The sequence below is a fragment of the Homo sapiens genome, chromosome 7 (genome assembly GCF_000001405.40).
Source record: "Homo sapiens chromosome 7, GRCh38.p14 Primary Assembly".
NCBI lineage: Eukaryota > Metazoa > Chordata > Mammalia > Primates > Hominidae > Homo > Homo sapiens.
Window position 1 is genome coordinate 2,752,832 of NC_000007.14, and position 14,072 is coordinate 2,766,903.

Genomic DNA, 14,072 nt, shown 5'->3' on the forward strand with positions numbered 1-14,072 from the left:
ACATCTGTTGTTCTTATAGTACAATATCAGAACCAGGGAACTGACGTTAGTACAATGTGTGTGTGGTTCCATGCACTTTGTCACCTGTCTAGATTTGTGTAACCACCACTGCAATCAAGAGACACAACTGTCCCACCACAACGGTCTCCCTCGTGCTACCAATTTATAATCACAGCCATCCTCCTTCTTCCACCATCCCTAATCCCTTGGTAACCACGAATCTGATTTCCATCTCTAGAATGTATAGTCACTGATCTGTTTTCTGTTCCTATAGTTTTGCCTTTTCTAGAGTGTACTTAAAGTGAAACCATACAGCATGCGGCTTTTTTTTTTTAAAAAAAGAGACAGGGTCTTACTGTGTTGCCCAGGATGGAATGCAGCGGCATGATCATGGCTCACTGCAAACTCTCCTCCCAGGCTCAAATGATCCTCCTGCCTCAGCCTCCCAAGTAGCTGGGACTATAGGTGCATGCCACCACGATTGGCTAATTTTATTTTTTGTAGAGATGGGATCTTGCTATGTTGTCCAGGCTGGTCTTAAACTACTGGGCTCAAGCCATCCTCCCAAAGTGCTGGGATTACAGGTGTGAGCCCCTGCACCTGGCAGCATGTGGCCTTTGGAAGTTGGCTTTTTTCACTCAACATAATGTCCTTGGGATCTGCTCACACTGTTGCATCTGTCAGTAGCTTGCCCCTTTTTACTGCTGGGAGAATTCCATGGTCTGAACGTGCCGCAGTTTATTTAACCATTTACCAATCTAGAGACATTTTGGTTGTTTCTGTATTTTAGCTATTACACATAAAACTCTGTGAACATTCATGTACAGGTGTGGTGTGGATGTAAGTTTCATTTCTCTAGGGTAAATGCCCAGGAGTGTGACTGCCGGGCTGTATAAGTGTATGTTTAATTTTTTTTTCCTTTTAATTACATTTATTTTAATGCTGAATTTACTCCTGTGCCATAAGTTTTTGTTTCTTCAGTTTCTTCTGGGATATCTTTTTCTTCTGGGCAACCTCCTCTTCTGGTTTAGGAACAATCTGTTCCTTTTCAGTAAGGATCATCTCAATGTGGCAGGGAGAGCTCATGTATGGGTTAATCCGACCACGAGCTCTGTAGGTCCGGCGGCGCATCTTAGGTGCTTTGTTCACTTGGATATGCTCAGTGACCAGAGAATCTACATCTAAACCCTTAAGTTCAGCGTTACTCTCTGCCAAACTCTTTTCCAGAACGGTTGTACCCTTTTACCTCCCCACCAGTGATGAATGAGACCCAGCTTCTCAGTATCCTCACCAGCATTTGTTATTTTCACTATTTTCTATTGTATCTGTGTTAATAGGTGTGTAGTGCTAGCTCACAGCAGTCTGAGTCTGCATCTCCCTTAATTGGCAGTGACTCAATGGCTGGAGAGGCTGGATGTCTTCTCGTGCTTATGTGCCATCGGCATGTCCTCTTTGGTGAAATCACTTCATATGTTTTGTTATTTTCTGTTTGGATTGTTTTCGTACTGGTGAGTATTGTTTTGAGAGTTCTGTTTTCTAGATAATGAGTCCTTTGTCGGATATGTAGTCAGCAAATACTTTTCTCCCAGTCTGTAGCTTGTCTTTTCATCCTCTTACTAAGAGGATCTGGGCAGGGCACGGTGGCTCACCCCTGTAATCCCAGCACTTTGGGAGGCCAGGGCAGGAAGATCCCTTGAGCTTAGGGGCTCGAAACCAACCTGGGCAACATAGTGAGACCTCATCTCTACTTTAAAAAAAAAAAAAAAATTAGCCAGGTATAGTGTTGCGTTCCTGTAGTCCCAGCTATTAGGGGAGGCTGGGACAAGAGGACTGCTTGAGCCCAGGAGACTGAGGCTGCAGTGAGCTATGATCACACCACTACACTCCAGTCCGAGCAACAGAGTGAGACCCTGCCTCAAAAGGAGGACTTTTGCAGAGCAAACATTTCAAATTTTGATGAAACAAAAATGACCGTTTCTCAAAATTTGATTTCAACGGATCACTAGGGCGTCATGTCTAAGAATTCTTCACCAAGTTCTAGGCCCCAAGGAGTTTCTACTGTTATCTTCTCTCAAGTTTTAGAGTTCTGCGCTTTACACTGAAATCTGTAACTCAGTTTGAATTAATTTTGTATAAGAGATTTAGGTCAAGGTTCACTTTTTCTTCCCTACAGAGACAGTCCAGCACCCTTTGTTGAAAAGGCTCTCCTTCTTCACTGAGTTGCTTCTGCCCTTGGCTGCAATCAGTCGGGCGTGCTGGCGGGGAGCGATCCACGGGTCTGTCCAGTGACCTCGTGTCTCTCCCTGCGCCAGCACCACACAGGCCTGACCACTGCAGGGAGACAACAGGCCTTGGAATCAGGGAGAGTGGCCCCTCCCACTTTATTCTTTTTCAAACATTTTTGGCCATTCCAGTGCCTTTCCGCATACATTTTACAATAATCACATCCATGTCTACAAAAGATCTTGCTGCGATTTTCACAGGAATTGTGTCAAATCTGTGTATCAATCAGGGGAGAACAGACATCTTGACAGCACTGAGTTTTCCATGAACACGGCACATCCCTCCATTTGTTTAGATCTCATTTCTTGAGTGTTTCGTGCTTCTTATCAAACAAGTCCTCTAGATGTTGTGTTAAATTTACACCACAGTATTTCATTTTTAAAATGACTGTTAATGGTGTTGCATCTTAAATTTGTTTCCATGTGTCTATTGGTCATTGTTAGTCTATAGAAGTAAAATTTATATTTTGTATATGGATCTTGTATCCTGTAGCCTTGCTAAACTGACTCATTAGTCTATGACTTTTCTGGTAGATTCCTTGGGATTTTCTGTGCCATCTGCCAACAGGAACAGTCATATTTCTTTTTCTCTGATATGTCTACCCTGCATTTCCTTTTCTTGCCTTACTGCATTGGCTAAAACAGGAAATTTTTTTTAAATGTGAAAAATTTCTTTACTGAAAACTGAAGAACACTTGGGCAAAAAATTTGAAACCTAAATAATTGGAGAGTTATGTCATATTCATGAAATGGAAGATTCAACATTGTTGTTTATGCTCCCCAAATTGATCTAGATTGAATACCAGTCTCAATACAAATCCCAGCAGGCATTTTTTTTGGTAGAAATTGACAAGCTCATTTTAAAATTTATCTCTTCAAAACACCACAGAATAACAAACCATTTTATAAAGAAGAACAACGTTTTCATAATACCAACTTTCAACTTGCTAGAAAGTGACAGAGTTTATCATCGGCAAAAGAAAAGTAATATGGATCAACCGAATAGAAATGAGAGTGCAGAAACAGGCCCCCACATATATGGCCAATTGATTTATAAAAAATTGACAAGGCAACTCAAATGAGGAAAGGAAAAGTTTTCAACAAATGGTGCTGGAAAAACTGGTGATCTGCACATAACTTAAAAAAAACTCTCATTTGGAGGATCAGAAAATCAAAAAAGGACATTGATTCTAACTATGTCCTATATAAATCTAATTCAAACTGGATCACTAAAACTAGACTGAAAAAAACATAGGATGTCAGGTATGGTGGCTCACATTTATAATCCTACGAGTTCAAGACCAGCCTGGGCAATAGAGTGAGACCTCATCTCTGCAAAAAATTTTTAAAAATTAGTCAGGTGTGGTGGCACACGCCTATAGTCCCAGCTACTCAGGAGGCTGAGGCAGGAAGATCTCTTGAGCCCGGGAGGTCGAGGCTGCAGTGAGCCACAATCGTGCCACTGCACTACAGCCTGAGTGAGACCCTGTCTCAAACAAACAAACAAACAAACAAAAACATAGGAGAGGATCTGTGTGATCTTGGGTTAGGAAAAGATTTCTGTGCTGTCAGAATTCTAAGATGAGCCTCGATGACAGACGCCCCTGTCTTTCCCTGGAGTGTGGAAGGGACCTGAGAATATGATGGAACATCACTTTTGTGATTTGGTTACTTTAAGTTAGTCAAAGAGGAGGTGCTCTTGGGCCAGGTATGGTGGCTCATGCCAAGGTGGGAGGATCCCTTGAGCCCAGGCCATTTGAGGTTGGTCTGGGTAACACAGTGAGACCTCATCTCTATTAAAAATTTAAAAAGTAGCCGGGTGTGGTGGCACATGCCTGTAGTTCCAGCTACTCAGGAGGCTGAAGTGGAAGGTTCTCTTGAGCTGGGGAGTTCGAGGCTGCAGTGAACCGTGATTGTGCCAGTGGCACTCCAGTCTGGGCAACAGAGCGATACTCTGTCCCAAGGCGGGGGAAAAAAGGAGGTGACCTTGGCAGGCCCGATCTAATCAGGTGGGCCTTTTTTTTTTTTTTTTTTTTTTTTGAGACGGAGTCTTGCTCTGTCACCCAGGCTGGAGTGTAGTGGCACGATCTTGGCTCACTGCAAGCTCTGCCTCCCGGGTTCACGCCATTCTCCTGCCTCAGCCTCCCAAGTAGCTGGGACCGCAGCGCCCGCCACCATGCCCGGCTAATTTTTTGTAGTTTTAGTAGAGACAGGGTTTCGCCATGTCAGGTGGGCCTTTTAAAAGAGGTGCTCTCCTGCTGACCTAGAAGAAAGCACACAGCCGTGTTATGAGGAGGAGCCACGTGGCAAGGAAGTGAGGGCACCCCTAGGAGCTGCCAGCTAGTAAGAAAATGGGACATCAGTCAGAGGACTGCAAGGAAATGAACTCTGCCAGTACCAGTGAGCTTGAAAAAGGATGACAAGCCTTAGATGGGAACGCGGCCAGGTGCACCAGCCTGCGAGGTTCCGAGCAGAGCACGTGGCGAACTCTGGATGCCCAGGCTGCTGACCCAAGCACATTGGGAGATCATTACATCTGTGCCGTTTTAAGTTGCTAATTGGTGGTAATCTTTTCATCCAGCAACAAAAAACCTTTAGTACTTCTTAGGGCAAAATAACCATGAAGCATAAAGGAAAATGTCATCTTCCCTGCACATTCTCAGCCCCAGGGACCTCTTGCACTTAGTACGTACTGAACGCTTGCTGAGTCAATGAAGACATGTGTTTTTTCAAACCTGACTTTTTAAATGGCAGCTTAAATATTTTTTCCTTTAATAGCTTAGTGGTTCTCTGACTCCTGTTCGCTGTCCCCACATCAGAATAGCAATAATAAGGAATGATTCTTCCCTCCCCCTGCAAATGTAGCTGCCTGGTTAACACAGAACACAAGCTCTACAGACCTAATAAATGTCTGGAAAACCTCTTGCTTGGGGATGAGTCACTCCCTAACTCAAAACCAACAGGATGAGTCAGCAGCTGTTGCTTCAGGCTCTTTATGGAAAGCCCCTCTATTTTTACTATCCTATTCTTAAACAAAGACAAAAACCCAAAAACTCAACATCTCCCCAACTATCGATGCTTACAGTATTAGAAATGAAAACTCAGAGCTTTTAAGAAAACAAGGCTTTAGGGCCGGGTGCAGTGGCTCACACTGTAATCCTAGCACTTTAAGAAAACAAGGCTCTGCAAACACTTATCTCATTCGCCATCCAAGTGATGACATCCTCATACGTCGTGTGGCCTCTGAAAAGCTCCAATGCAGGCTTGCACATGAAAGAGGGTGTAAAGGGCAGACAGTGTCTCAGCAGTTTCATGTGTTCTGTGCTGTCAGGGTTCTAAGACGAGCCTCAATGACACACGCCCTGTGCAATTTCTTCCCCTGCAGCGTGGGAGGAAGCTGGAGTGTGATGGAACGTATCTCCTGTGATTGGGCGACTTTCAGCTAAGCCAAAGGGAGGTGATCTTGGTGGGCCTGATCTAATCAGGGGAGCCTTTCAAGGAACCTGGGGGAACCCCTGAAAGGGTCTCGGGGGCCCCCACAGCACACTTGGAGGAACCCCTGTGCTAGAGAGGTTGGTGCCTGTGTAGCAGCGTGCCCCTAACAGCAGAGTCACAGCCCTAGGCTGGAAGCCACCAGTGCCCACCTCTGGTTCAGTGGATAATCAAGTGCAGTTTACTCATCTAATAGAACACCACAGAAGAATGGATATGAGAGGGTTATCACCGCATGTATCAACATGATGGGTCTCTGCTGGGCGCGGTGGCTCATGCCTATAATCCCAGCGCTCTGGGAGGCCGAGGTGGATCACCTGAGGTCAGGAGTTCGAGACCAGCCTCCTGATATGGTGAAACACCGTCTCTACTAAAAATACAAAAACTAGCGGGGCGTGGTGGTGGGCGCCTGTAATCCCAGCTACTGGGGAGGCTGAGGCAGGAGAATCACTTGAACCCAGGGGGCGGAGGTTGCAATGAGCCGAGATTACACCATTGCACTCAGCCCTGGGCCACAGAGCAAAACACTGTCTCAAAATAAATAAATAAATAAATAAATAAATAAATAAATAAATAAATAAATAAAATAAAAATAAAAACCCCATGATGGATCTCAAAATATAACGCTGAAGAAATAAGTCATAAAATGGTTATACTGTCCTTATTTACATGAAGTTAAAACACAGGCAAAAGGAAACAAAGCGCTAGCTGTAAGAACTCACACCTACCTTGCACTTCCTATGTGCCTGCACTGTTCTAAGGGCCTCCCCCATATCACCTTCATTCTCACAATACTCACGGTGTGTTATTACTGTTCTGTCCATGTGACAGATGGGAAGACTGAGACAAAGTGGTTAAATAACATGCCCAAGTGGTAAGTTACTACTGTTTAGGAATAGGTGGTAAAAAGACAAGTAAAAGGAAAGGAATAATTAGCCAAATACTAGAATAGTGGTGACGCTGGGGTGGCGGTAGTGGCTCACATGGGGTTTATGAATTACTGTTGATGTTTTTCATCTGAGTGGCAGGTTCAGAGGTGTTTGTTCATGCTGTTTCACGCTGTGCCTATTTTTTCAGACCCTCTTCTGTAGTCATACAGGATAGGAGAGAGATGTATACACTTCAGAATTTTAAAAAGAGCAAAAGAGAAAAAACACAGACTGAAGGCCATGAAAAAAACTGTCCTTAGGGCTGGGCCGCTCCCTCCAGGCAGTTTCTGCAACGGGTGCAGATGCCGTCCAATGCGATTGTCCGCCCCCGTCTCAGAGCCCCACGGCCAGCTGAGGTCCTTTGAAAAGCTCCGCTCCCTGCTTTCTGCCACCTGCTCCTGCCAAGCAGGCTGTGTAGGCTGGAAGCCACCAGTGGCTTTGTCACATGACCACAAATGCATAAAAATGACAGGAACACTCAGTTTTAAAAGTATTTTTTAAAATATGAAAACACTAGGATGTCAAGGTTGAGGAACTGAAGGTCAAGAGCTCCAAGGCCTCTGTTGGCAATGTGTAGCTTGGATGTGTGGACAAAGAGAGCCCCACGTGATGGACGTGCTTTCTTCCCATCGCCCGCCTCTGCCTGGGGAAGGAGTGGAGATTGAAGACACACCCAACGCGTGCAGAGTCCAGGCAGGAGGGCACACCCCAGCACGAGCTGCTCAGGCTCGCCTCCCAGCAGCGCTGCCTCCCTAGGTCCACAACCTGCTGTGTTCTGCACAGGCTCGACTCAATAGAATGCCTTACCAGTACACCAGGGGGACACCAAGTCAGAGGATCTGAACTGGCTCACTGCCAATCACCCAGGAGATCAAAGCAATCAATGTCAGTGGTCTTTCCCGGACGCTGTGGTAAGCACCTGAGAACCACCCAGGCCCTTCTGCCTGTCAAATCAACACCGTGGCTTCACTTCCTTCTGGGCAGAGCCTATTCTTCATTCCAAAGACCTAAGATGACTATGGCACCACGTCACATCAGGGCGTCCCTGACGAGCACTGCACCAGAGCCTGTGAAGACTTTCCACACACATCCCTCAAGCAGGACAGACCTGTCACTGTCCCTTTAAACCTTCCCAACCTCCACCCTCCAAATCCATCTCCATTTCCTTCTACAGGCAGCTTATCCAGAGCTAAGTTTAGCTACGACCATTTCTAATCTTTCCTCTAGGGACAGCGTCGAGCTCCCTACTGCTGGACCGTCCCAGCTGCGTGGCTTTACCAAGTCACCAGAGGTTAGCTTGTCTGCAAGAGGCTGGTGACACGAGGAACAGAAGTTGTCACATCCTCACAGCAATGTGGCTTCTTTGGTGGGGAGTGGGGGGTTCTGGCTGGCACCTTCCCCACTCCAGCTCCCCCTGTCCTTCCCACAGTCTTGACGAAGTTGCTTGCTCTCAGTCCTCACAGTTCATGGGTAGTTTTGGGACAGCATGTTGTTTTAGACCCAAAACAATGACATGTAAACGGAGTCAGGAACGTAGCACGCATCTCATAGAAAGCATTTCCTACACGTCTGGCTCTCGGCTGTGGGGCTCCTCTTAGAGTTATGCGGATGGGAGACAACCACGGCCGCCTCACCGAGCCACCGTGCACGGCACTGCGCAAACAAGCTCCCAGCACAGCAGCCCCGGCTCTGCTACCTCCCGGCCGTGGATGGCACAGTCCCCCTCTGGGTCTCAGTTTCCTCTTCTATGAGGTCAAAGCCACCACCCCATGCTCACAGAGCCGTCTGCTGGCTATGCCTAGAGGCACGGGGTGGGCACGCAGATGGCAGCTGTGATTTCCCTGAAACCAGACATCTGTGCCACACAGACTCCCAAGGACGGCTGACTTCATGGCAGAATTTGAGATATTTCAGAAGCCTAGTACAAATAAAGAAGAAAACCAGAAACTTTTTCCTAAAACCTGATGCAATTCAGGATGACTAAAAAGAGCTGGAACGGACAGCATCGCCCTCCAGAATTGTCACTACCTCATCTACCGAATTCCTAGGATACAAACAGTTCTCACTTTACACAGGGCACGTTCCCGAACCGGCCTCTCAGGACGGAACCCAAAGACAATTTCACAGGATTTACAATTTGCAGCTATTGGTTCTCCTTTGACCGAATCCTTGAATTTGCTTAAAAAACAATGAAGAGTTGACAAGATGGGCCACTGGAAAATGAAAAGAGCATCGGCACTTCACGTTCATTAAAACGTGAAGAGATGACCAACTAATGCTGCTTTCATACCCTGGATAGTGCTGAGTACCTAACAGCTCTTTAGGTCACAACGTAAAATTCGGCTTCCAGCTGGTCCAGTTTTCCCATCTGTCGTATCCACGGAATGTCCAAATGTAAGGGAAAAATGTGGAGTGTCCAGCCGCCCACCAGTCCACCCAGCACCACAGCCTAACCTCACCGAGGCCTCCCAGCACTCACACAGAACACTCGCAGAGAACTGCGGCTCCATCCGCATTCCTTACCTTCATTACTGTCCCTACCTCCAGCCCCTCCAGAAAAAAGCGAAAGCGGCAGAGAAACCTGTGAAAACAAGACATGCCAAAAATACTGACTCAAAATACCAAAAGCTCTCACCCTGAGGTGGAGGGGTCAACCCAGGCTTCGTTTCTAGGAGAAGTTGTAAGGGCTTCGTGTTCTGCACTGCTAGGAAACACCACCCTGACTTAGGGTCGTCACAGAAGGTGCACATGGCGGGGCCGGCGTGCACCCACCACTCACGCCAGGCGCTGCGCGACTGCTGCTGGACACACACGATCCCACCGAATCCAGACACGGTATGGCGGTTCCCACTTTCCTCACTGAGGAAACCAAAGCTTAGACGTTAACTTGGCCAAGGGCAAAAACGCTACTTAACTCCAAAGTCCAGCCTCTGAACCCACCCGTGTGCGGGGCCTGAGGTGTGAGTAGCCTAACTGTGGACTACAAAAGCAGTTCCACCACGCCTTCTATTCTGGAGTTAGATCCAATGACATTTCCTGAAAATTACATTTACAAACCCAAAAAAGGACAATCCCCTTCCGGATAAGACCCCAATGCCATGAAGCACAGAGCGGCAGGACGATGAGAGGATAAATCATTTGGAAAGAAACCACGCTGCCCGGGTGGAGGAGCGCCAGAGGGAAGCAGGCCCCATGTCCTCCCTCCCGCAGGAAGTGCACCAGGCCCGTCCTTTCCACCCAGGCTGTACAAAAGGGAGGAGGAGCACTCAGGGCGGCCTCCCATCCGCCACACACCCAGTCAGCGCGGCTCCGAAGCAGGAGAGGGCCAGCTCCGAGCCCTGCTCGTGGAGCCATTGGTGCTGCGGCGGGGAGAAGAGGCCACAGGCGGGGACGCCCCAGACACTCCCGTGGGGCCCGTGCCAGGGTCTCCTGCTCCTCAGAAAGAGCCCTTGTGTGCTACTGTGGTCGCCAACAGCCCCGCCGGCCACTGGCCCAGGACTCAGCGTGCCGTTCCTCCAGGACGCAGACCGGGGCTCCCTACCAGCCTTGAGTGAGAGACCACAAGCAGCCTCTGAAGTCATCTTCCTCTCTCTTCTCAGAAGCATTTCTCGAATATTCTGCTGACAAGAGGTTAGCAGGACTTCACAAGACACCCCAACACACACACACACACACACACACACACACACACACACACGGTCTCAACACAGTTCAGAAAACACATTTGCCTTCCCAGGCCCGTGGGAGGAGTGCTGTGAGGCTGAGACACAGCCCGGCTTGCTGACGGCACAAATGCCGGTGCGCCCTCGGCACAGTTTGTTTGCTTCATCGGGCGGAGAAGGCCGAGTTCCAGCTCAGGGAGCCCACAAAGGAGCTCTTCCTATGGCCCTGCCAAACGCCTGGAGCAAAGGTTTTGTCTGGAAAAGCTCCCCGAGCTCCCTCAACCCCGGCAGCAGTGCTGCTCTATGGCTGAGGATGAAGCTCCAGTCCATGTCCCAAGCAGTGTCTCAATTCTCAATGGTCCTGTAATCTAAGGCTAGCTCGAAACAAAAAACAATTATTTTAAGGTCTAAAATATGCAGAAAGAGCTGCAGTGAACACATTTACACTTCCCAAGGACAAGCATCTAAGGAAGATCCCTGGTAAGAATGAGAAAGCCTGGGCTTGTCCAGGAAACCAAAGCTTCTTCTAAATGTGCCTTCCCTGCACAAAATGCCTCCCCCACAGGCTCTGCTTTTCCTGTCGCCTGGAACAAGAAAGCTCCCTGGGCAGGCGAGGCCGGGACCTCTGCACTGAGATCCCCACTCAGTGGCCTCCATGGCTGGCAGAGAGCGAGGGAGACGGAGAGAGAAGGAGCTCAGCTGAGCTGTTGCTTTAGAGTCTTGGTTAAAGTGAATCCAATTATGCACCCTTCTTTCCTATAGCAACACTACAGGGGCATGAGAACAGGGTACGCACCTAAAGTGAGGCTTGCCTATACTTTCTAGAAGTCTTCCTAAGGCTGCTGTGCTGGTGTCCTCTGATTGGTTGAGTATTTTTTATCATTTTGGTTTTGAGACAGGGTCTCACTCTGTTGCCCAGGTTAGGGGGCCGTGGTGCAATCATGGCTCACTGCAGCCTCAAACTGAAGTGGGCTCAAGTGATCCTCCTGCCTCAGCCTCCTGAGTAGCTGGGACCACGGGCACGTGCCACCTATCCCCAGCTAATTTCTTTTTTTTTTTTTTTTTTAATAAAGATGGGATCTCACTATGTTGCCCAGGCAGGTCTCAAACTCCTAGGCTGGAGTGATCCTCCCATCTCAGCCTCCCAAAGTGCCAGGATTCCAGGCGTGTGCTCCCGCATCCAGGCAGTCTGGTTTATTATTCACACAGAAGTACATCTGATATTGCTGACCAGAGGAGAGTTGAGATTCCGTATGAAGTCTATTTGTTCAATTACCTGAATCCTCTGAGACGCCCCAGTTGCCCAGTATTCACAGTGGTTGTGGTCGGGCTCAGCGTTTACTTCACAATCCAGACTCCTGGGCTTTGTCTCTGACATGTGAATGAATGATCTCCTCTGCCATGGCTTAGGGAGCCAGGGCCTGTCAGCTGGTCTCATCAGAGCTGAGGCTGCCCTCGAGGTGGGGTTCTGTCTGAATGCATCTGAGTTTTGCTTTATTTCTCTGTAAACTGTAGGTGAGCTGGGTGAACCCAGTAGCTTCAGCCACAGCTGGGAACTGAAGCAGCATCTGAAGTCCCTCTCATTCTCCCAGCGTGAGCCGGCGGACCCTGAAGGGAACACTGAGACTGACCACAGCTGGACTTGCGCCGCCTCGTCCTCTTAGTGAATGAGGTCCTCAGAGGCTTAAGCACGCGTTAGTTATCCAAAATGCTTCTGTTCAGGTGAATGCACAAAGCGTTGAGGTAGGTCAACTGCATTTTGTACGGTGGAAAAGTAATAAGCAGTTTGCTTTTTGTATTATAATGAAAATGAAAACCTTTCCTTAAAGGAAAGGAAGCATAATCTCAGAAATCTGAATCCAGGGAATCCCAAATAACCCCCCCAAATTTTAATCCTTGACATTCATAATCACTTGGATTAAAATCTAAGGGAAAAAAAGAATCACAGGCTGACTTTTTTTTTTTTTTTGAGACGGAGTCTCGCTCTGTCGCCCAGGCTGGAGTGTGGTGGCGCAATCTCGGCTCACTGCAAGCTCCGCCTCCCGGGTTCACGCCATTCTCCTGCCTCAGCCTCCCGAGTAGCTGGGACCACAGGCACCCGCCACTGCGCCCGCCTAATTTTTTTGTATTTTTAGTAGAGATGGGGTTTCATTTAGTAGAGATGGTGTTAGCCAGGATGGTCTAGATCTCCTGACCTCGTGATCCGCCCGCCTCGGCCTCCTAAAATGCTGGGATTACAGGCCTGAGCCACCGCGCCCAGCCTACAACAGGAAGACTTTGTTAAATGAATGAGCGCGCAGGGAAGAGCAGGTGCTTTGTGAACTTGAGAGCTTCACTTCCTAATCCTGTGACTCCAACATTCAATTAAAGGTAAAGAAAACCAGCAAGACGAGGTAGGGAGTTCTGTATCCTGTGTTTGTTTTTTTTTTTCTTCTTTTTATTTTTTGCTTTTGAGACAGAGTCTCACTCTGTCACCCAGGCTGGAGTGCGATGGCATGATCTTGGCTCACCACAACCTCCGCCTCCTGGGTTCAAGCGATTCTCCTGTCTTAGCCTCCTGAGTAGCTGGGACTATAGGCGTGTGCCAATACACCCAGCTAATTTTTGTTTTTTAGTAGAGATGGGGATTTCACCATGTTGGCCAGGCTGGTCTCGAACTCCTGACCTCGTGATCCAGGGCCCCCCTCCCCTCCCCCCAAGTTTCCAAAGTGCTGGGATTACAGGCGCGAGCCACTGCGCCCGGCTCCACATCCACTTTTTTAAAAAGTGTAGTAAAAAACATATTGACATAAAATTTACCATCTTAATCATTTTAAAATGCACAGTTCAGTGGTGTTAAGCATATTAACGTTGTTGTGAAACCGATCTCCAAAACTTTTTCATCTTGCAAATGTGAAACTTTGCACTAATTAAACAACTCCCATTTCCCCCCATCTGCCCAGCCCCTGGTAACCAGCATTCTACTTTTTGTTTCTATGCATTTGACTACTTCAGGTTATCACATAAGCAGAATCATACTTCTGCGACTGGCTTATTTCACTTAGCATAATATCCTCAAGGTTCATCTCTGTTGTAGCTAGTATGTTAGCTGCAGTCTTTCCTTTTTAAGGCTGGCTAAAATTCCATTGTGTGTATGTACTACATGCTGTTTACCTGTTCATCCATTGATGAACATTTGGGTTGCTTCCGCCTTTTTTTTTTTTTTTTTGAGACGGAGTCTTGCTCTGTCGCCAGGCTGGAGTGCAGTGGTGCCATCTTGGCTCACTGCAACCTCCGCTTCCCAGGTTCAAGCGATTTTCCTGCCTCAGCCTCCTGAGTAGCTAGGATTACAGGCACCCACCACCATGCCCAGCTAATTTTTGTATTTTAAATAGAGACAGGGTTTCACCATGTTGGCCAGGCTGGTCCTGAACTCCTGACCTCAAGCAATCCACCCACCTCGGTCTCCCAAAGTGCTGGGATTACAGGTGTGAGCCACCGCACCTGGCCAGCTTCCACCTCTTAGGCATTGTGAATAAAGTTGCTATAAACATGGGTGTGCAAATATCTCTGAGACCCTGCTTTCCATTCTTCTGGATAAATACCCCGAGGAGGCACTATTGGATTGCATCTGGGTCTCTTCCTACTATATGGCTGTGCCATTTTACATTCCCACCAACAGTGCACAAGGGTTCCAGTTTCTCCATTCCTCACCAACACTTGTTATT

At 47.8% G+C, this 14,072-nt stretch overlaps 2 protein-coding genes across 7 annotated transcripts in view, besides 3 other annotated features; one reads left to right on the top strand and one right to left on the bottom strand.

Annotated features, from left to right (window-relative positions):
- Nucleotides 1–12,307, top strand: part of AMZ1 (archaelysin family metallopeptidase 1) — an 85,617-nt gene extending 73,310 nt beyond the window's left edge. For all 3 annotated transcript variants that reach the window (XM_011515151.4, NM_001321766.2, XM_017011774.3), the window contains one exon: nucleotides 11,881–12,307. In XM_011515151.4, the coding sequence (XP_011513453.1) occupies nucleotides 11,881–12,029 (149 nt within the window). In that variant the 3' untranslated portion in view covers nucleotides 12,030–12,307. The remainder of the gene's footprint in view (nucleotides 1–11,880) is intronic.
- GNA12 (G protein subunit alpha 12) overlaps nucleotides 1–14,072 on the bottom strand; it is a 116,204-nt gene that overhangs the window by 24,727 nt on the left and 77,405 nt on the right. Inside the window, exon 1 of one of the 4 annotated variants that reach the window (NM_001282440.1) lies at nucleotides 9,761–10,309. The exons of the other annotated variants lie outside the window; for them this stretch is intronic. Within the exon in view, the coding sequence (NP_001269369.1) occupies nucleotides 9,761–10,057 (297 nt within the window). The 5' untranslated portion in view covers nucleotides 10,058–10,309. Of the gene's footprint in view, nucleotides 1–9,760; nucleotides 10,310–14,072 lie in introns of those variants that run through there. 4 annotated transcript variants of the gene reach the window in all.
- Nucleotides 5,157–5,446: an enhancer, noted in NCBI's record as "active region_25551". NCBI's record gives its function as "activates an Ori minimal core promoter by ATAC-STARR-seq in GM12878 lymphoblastoid cells {active_cell/tissue: GM12878}" and the evidence as "EXISTENCE:reporter gene assay evidence [ECO:0000049][PMID:35858748]".
- Nucleotides 9,200–9,729: an enhancer, noted in NCBI's record as "H3K27ac-H3K4me1 hESC enhancer chr7:2801665-2802194 (GRCh37/hg19 assembly coordinates)". NCBI's record gives its function as "activates a minimal SCP1, AML or CMV promoter by ChIP-STARR-seq in primed H9 embryonic stem cells {active_cell/tissue: H9 hESC(primed)}" and the evidence as "EXISTENCE:reporter gene assay evidence [ECO:0000049][PMID:30033119]".
- Nucleotides 10,260–10,788: an enhancer, noted in NCBI's record as "H3K27ac-H3K4me1 hESC enhancer chr7:2802725-2803253 (GRCh37/hg19 assembly coordinates)". NCBI's record gives its function as "activates a minimal SCP1, AML or CMV promoter by ChIP-STARR-seq in primed H9 embryonic stem cells {active_cell/tissue: H9 hESC(primed)}" and the evidence as "EXISTENCE:reporter gene assay evidence [ECO:0000049][PMID:30033119]".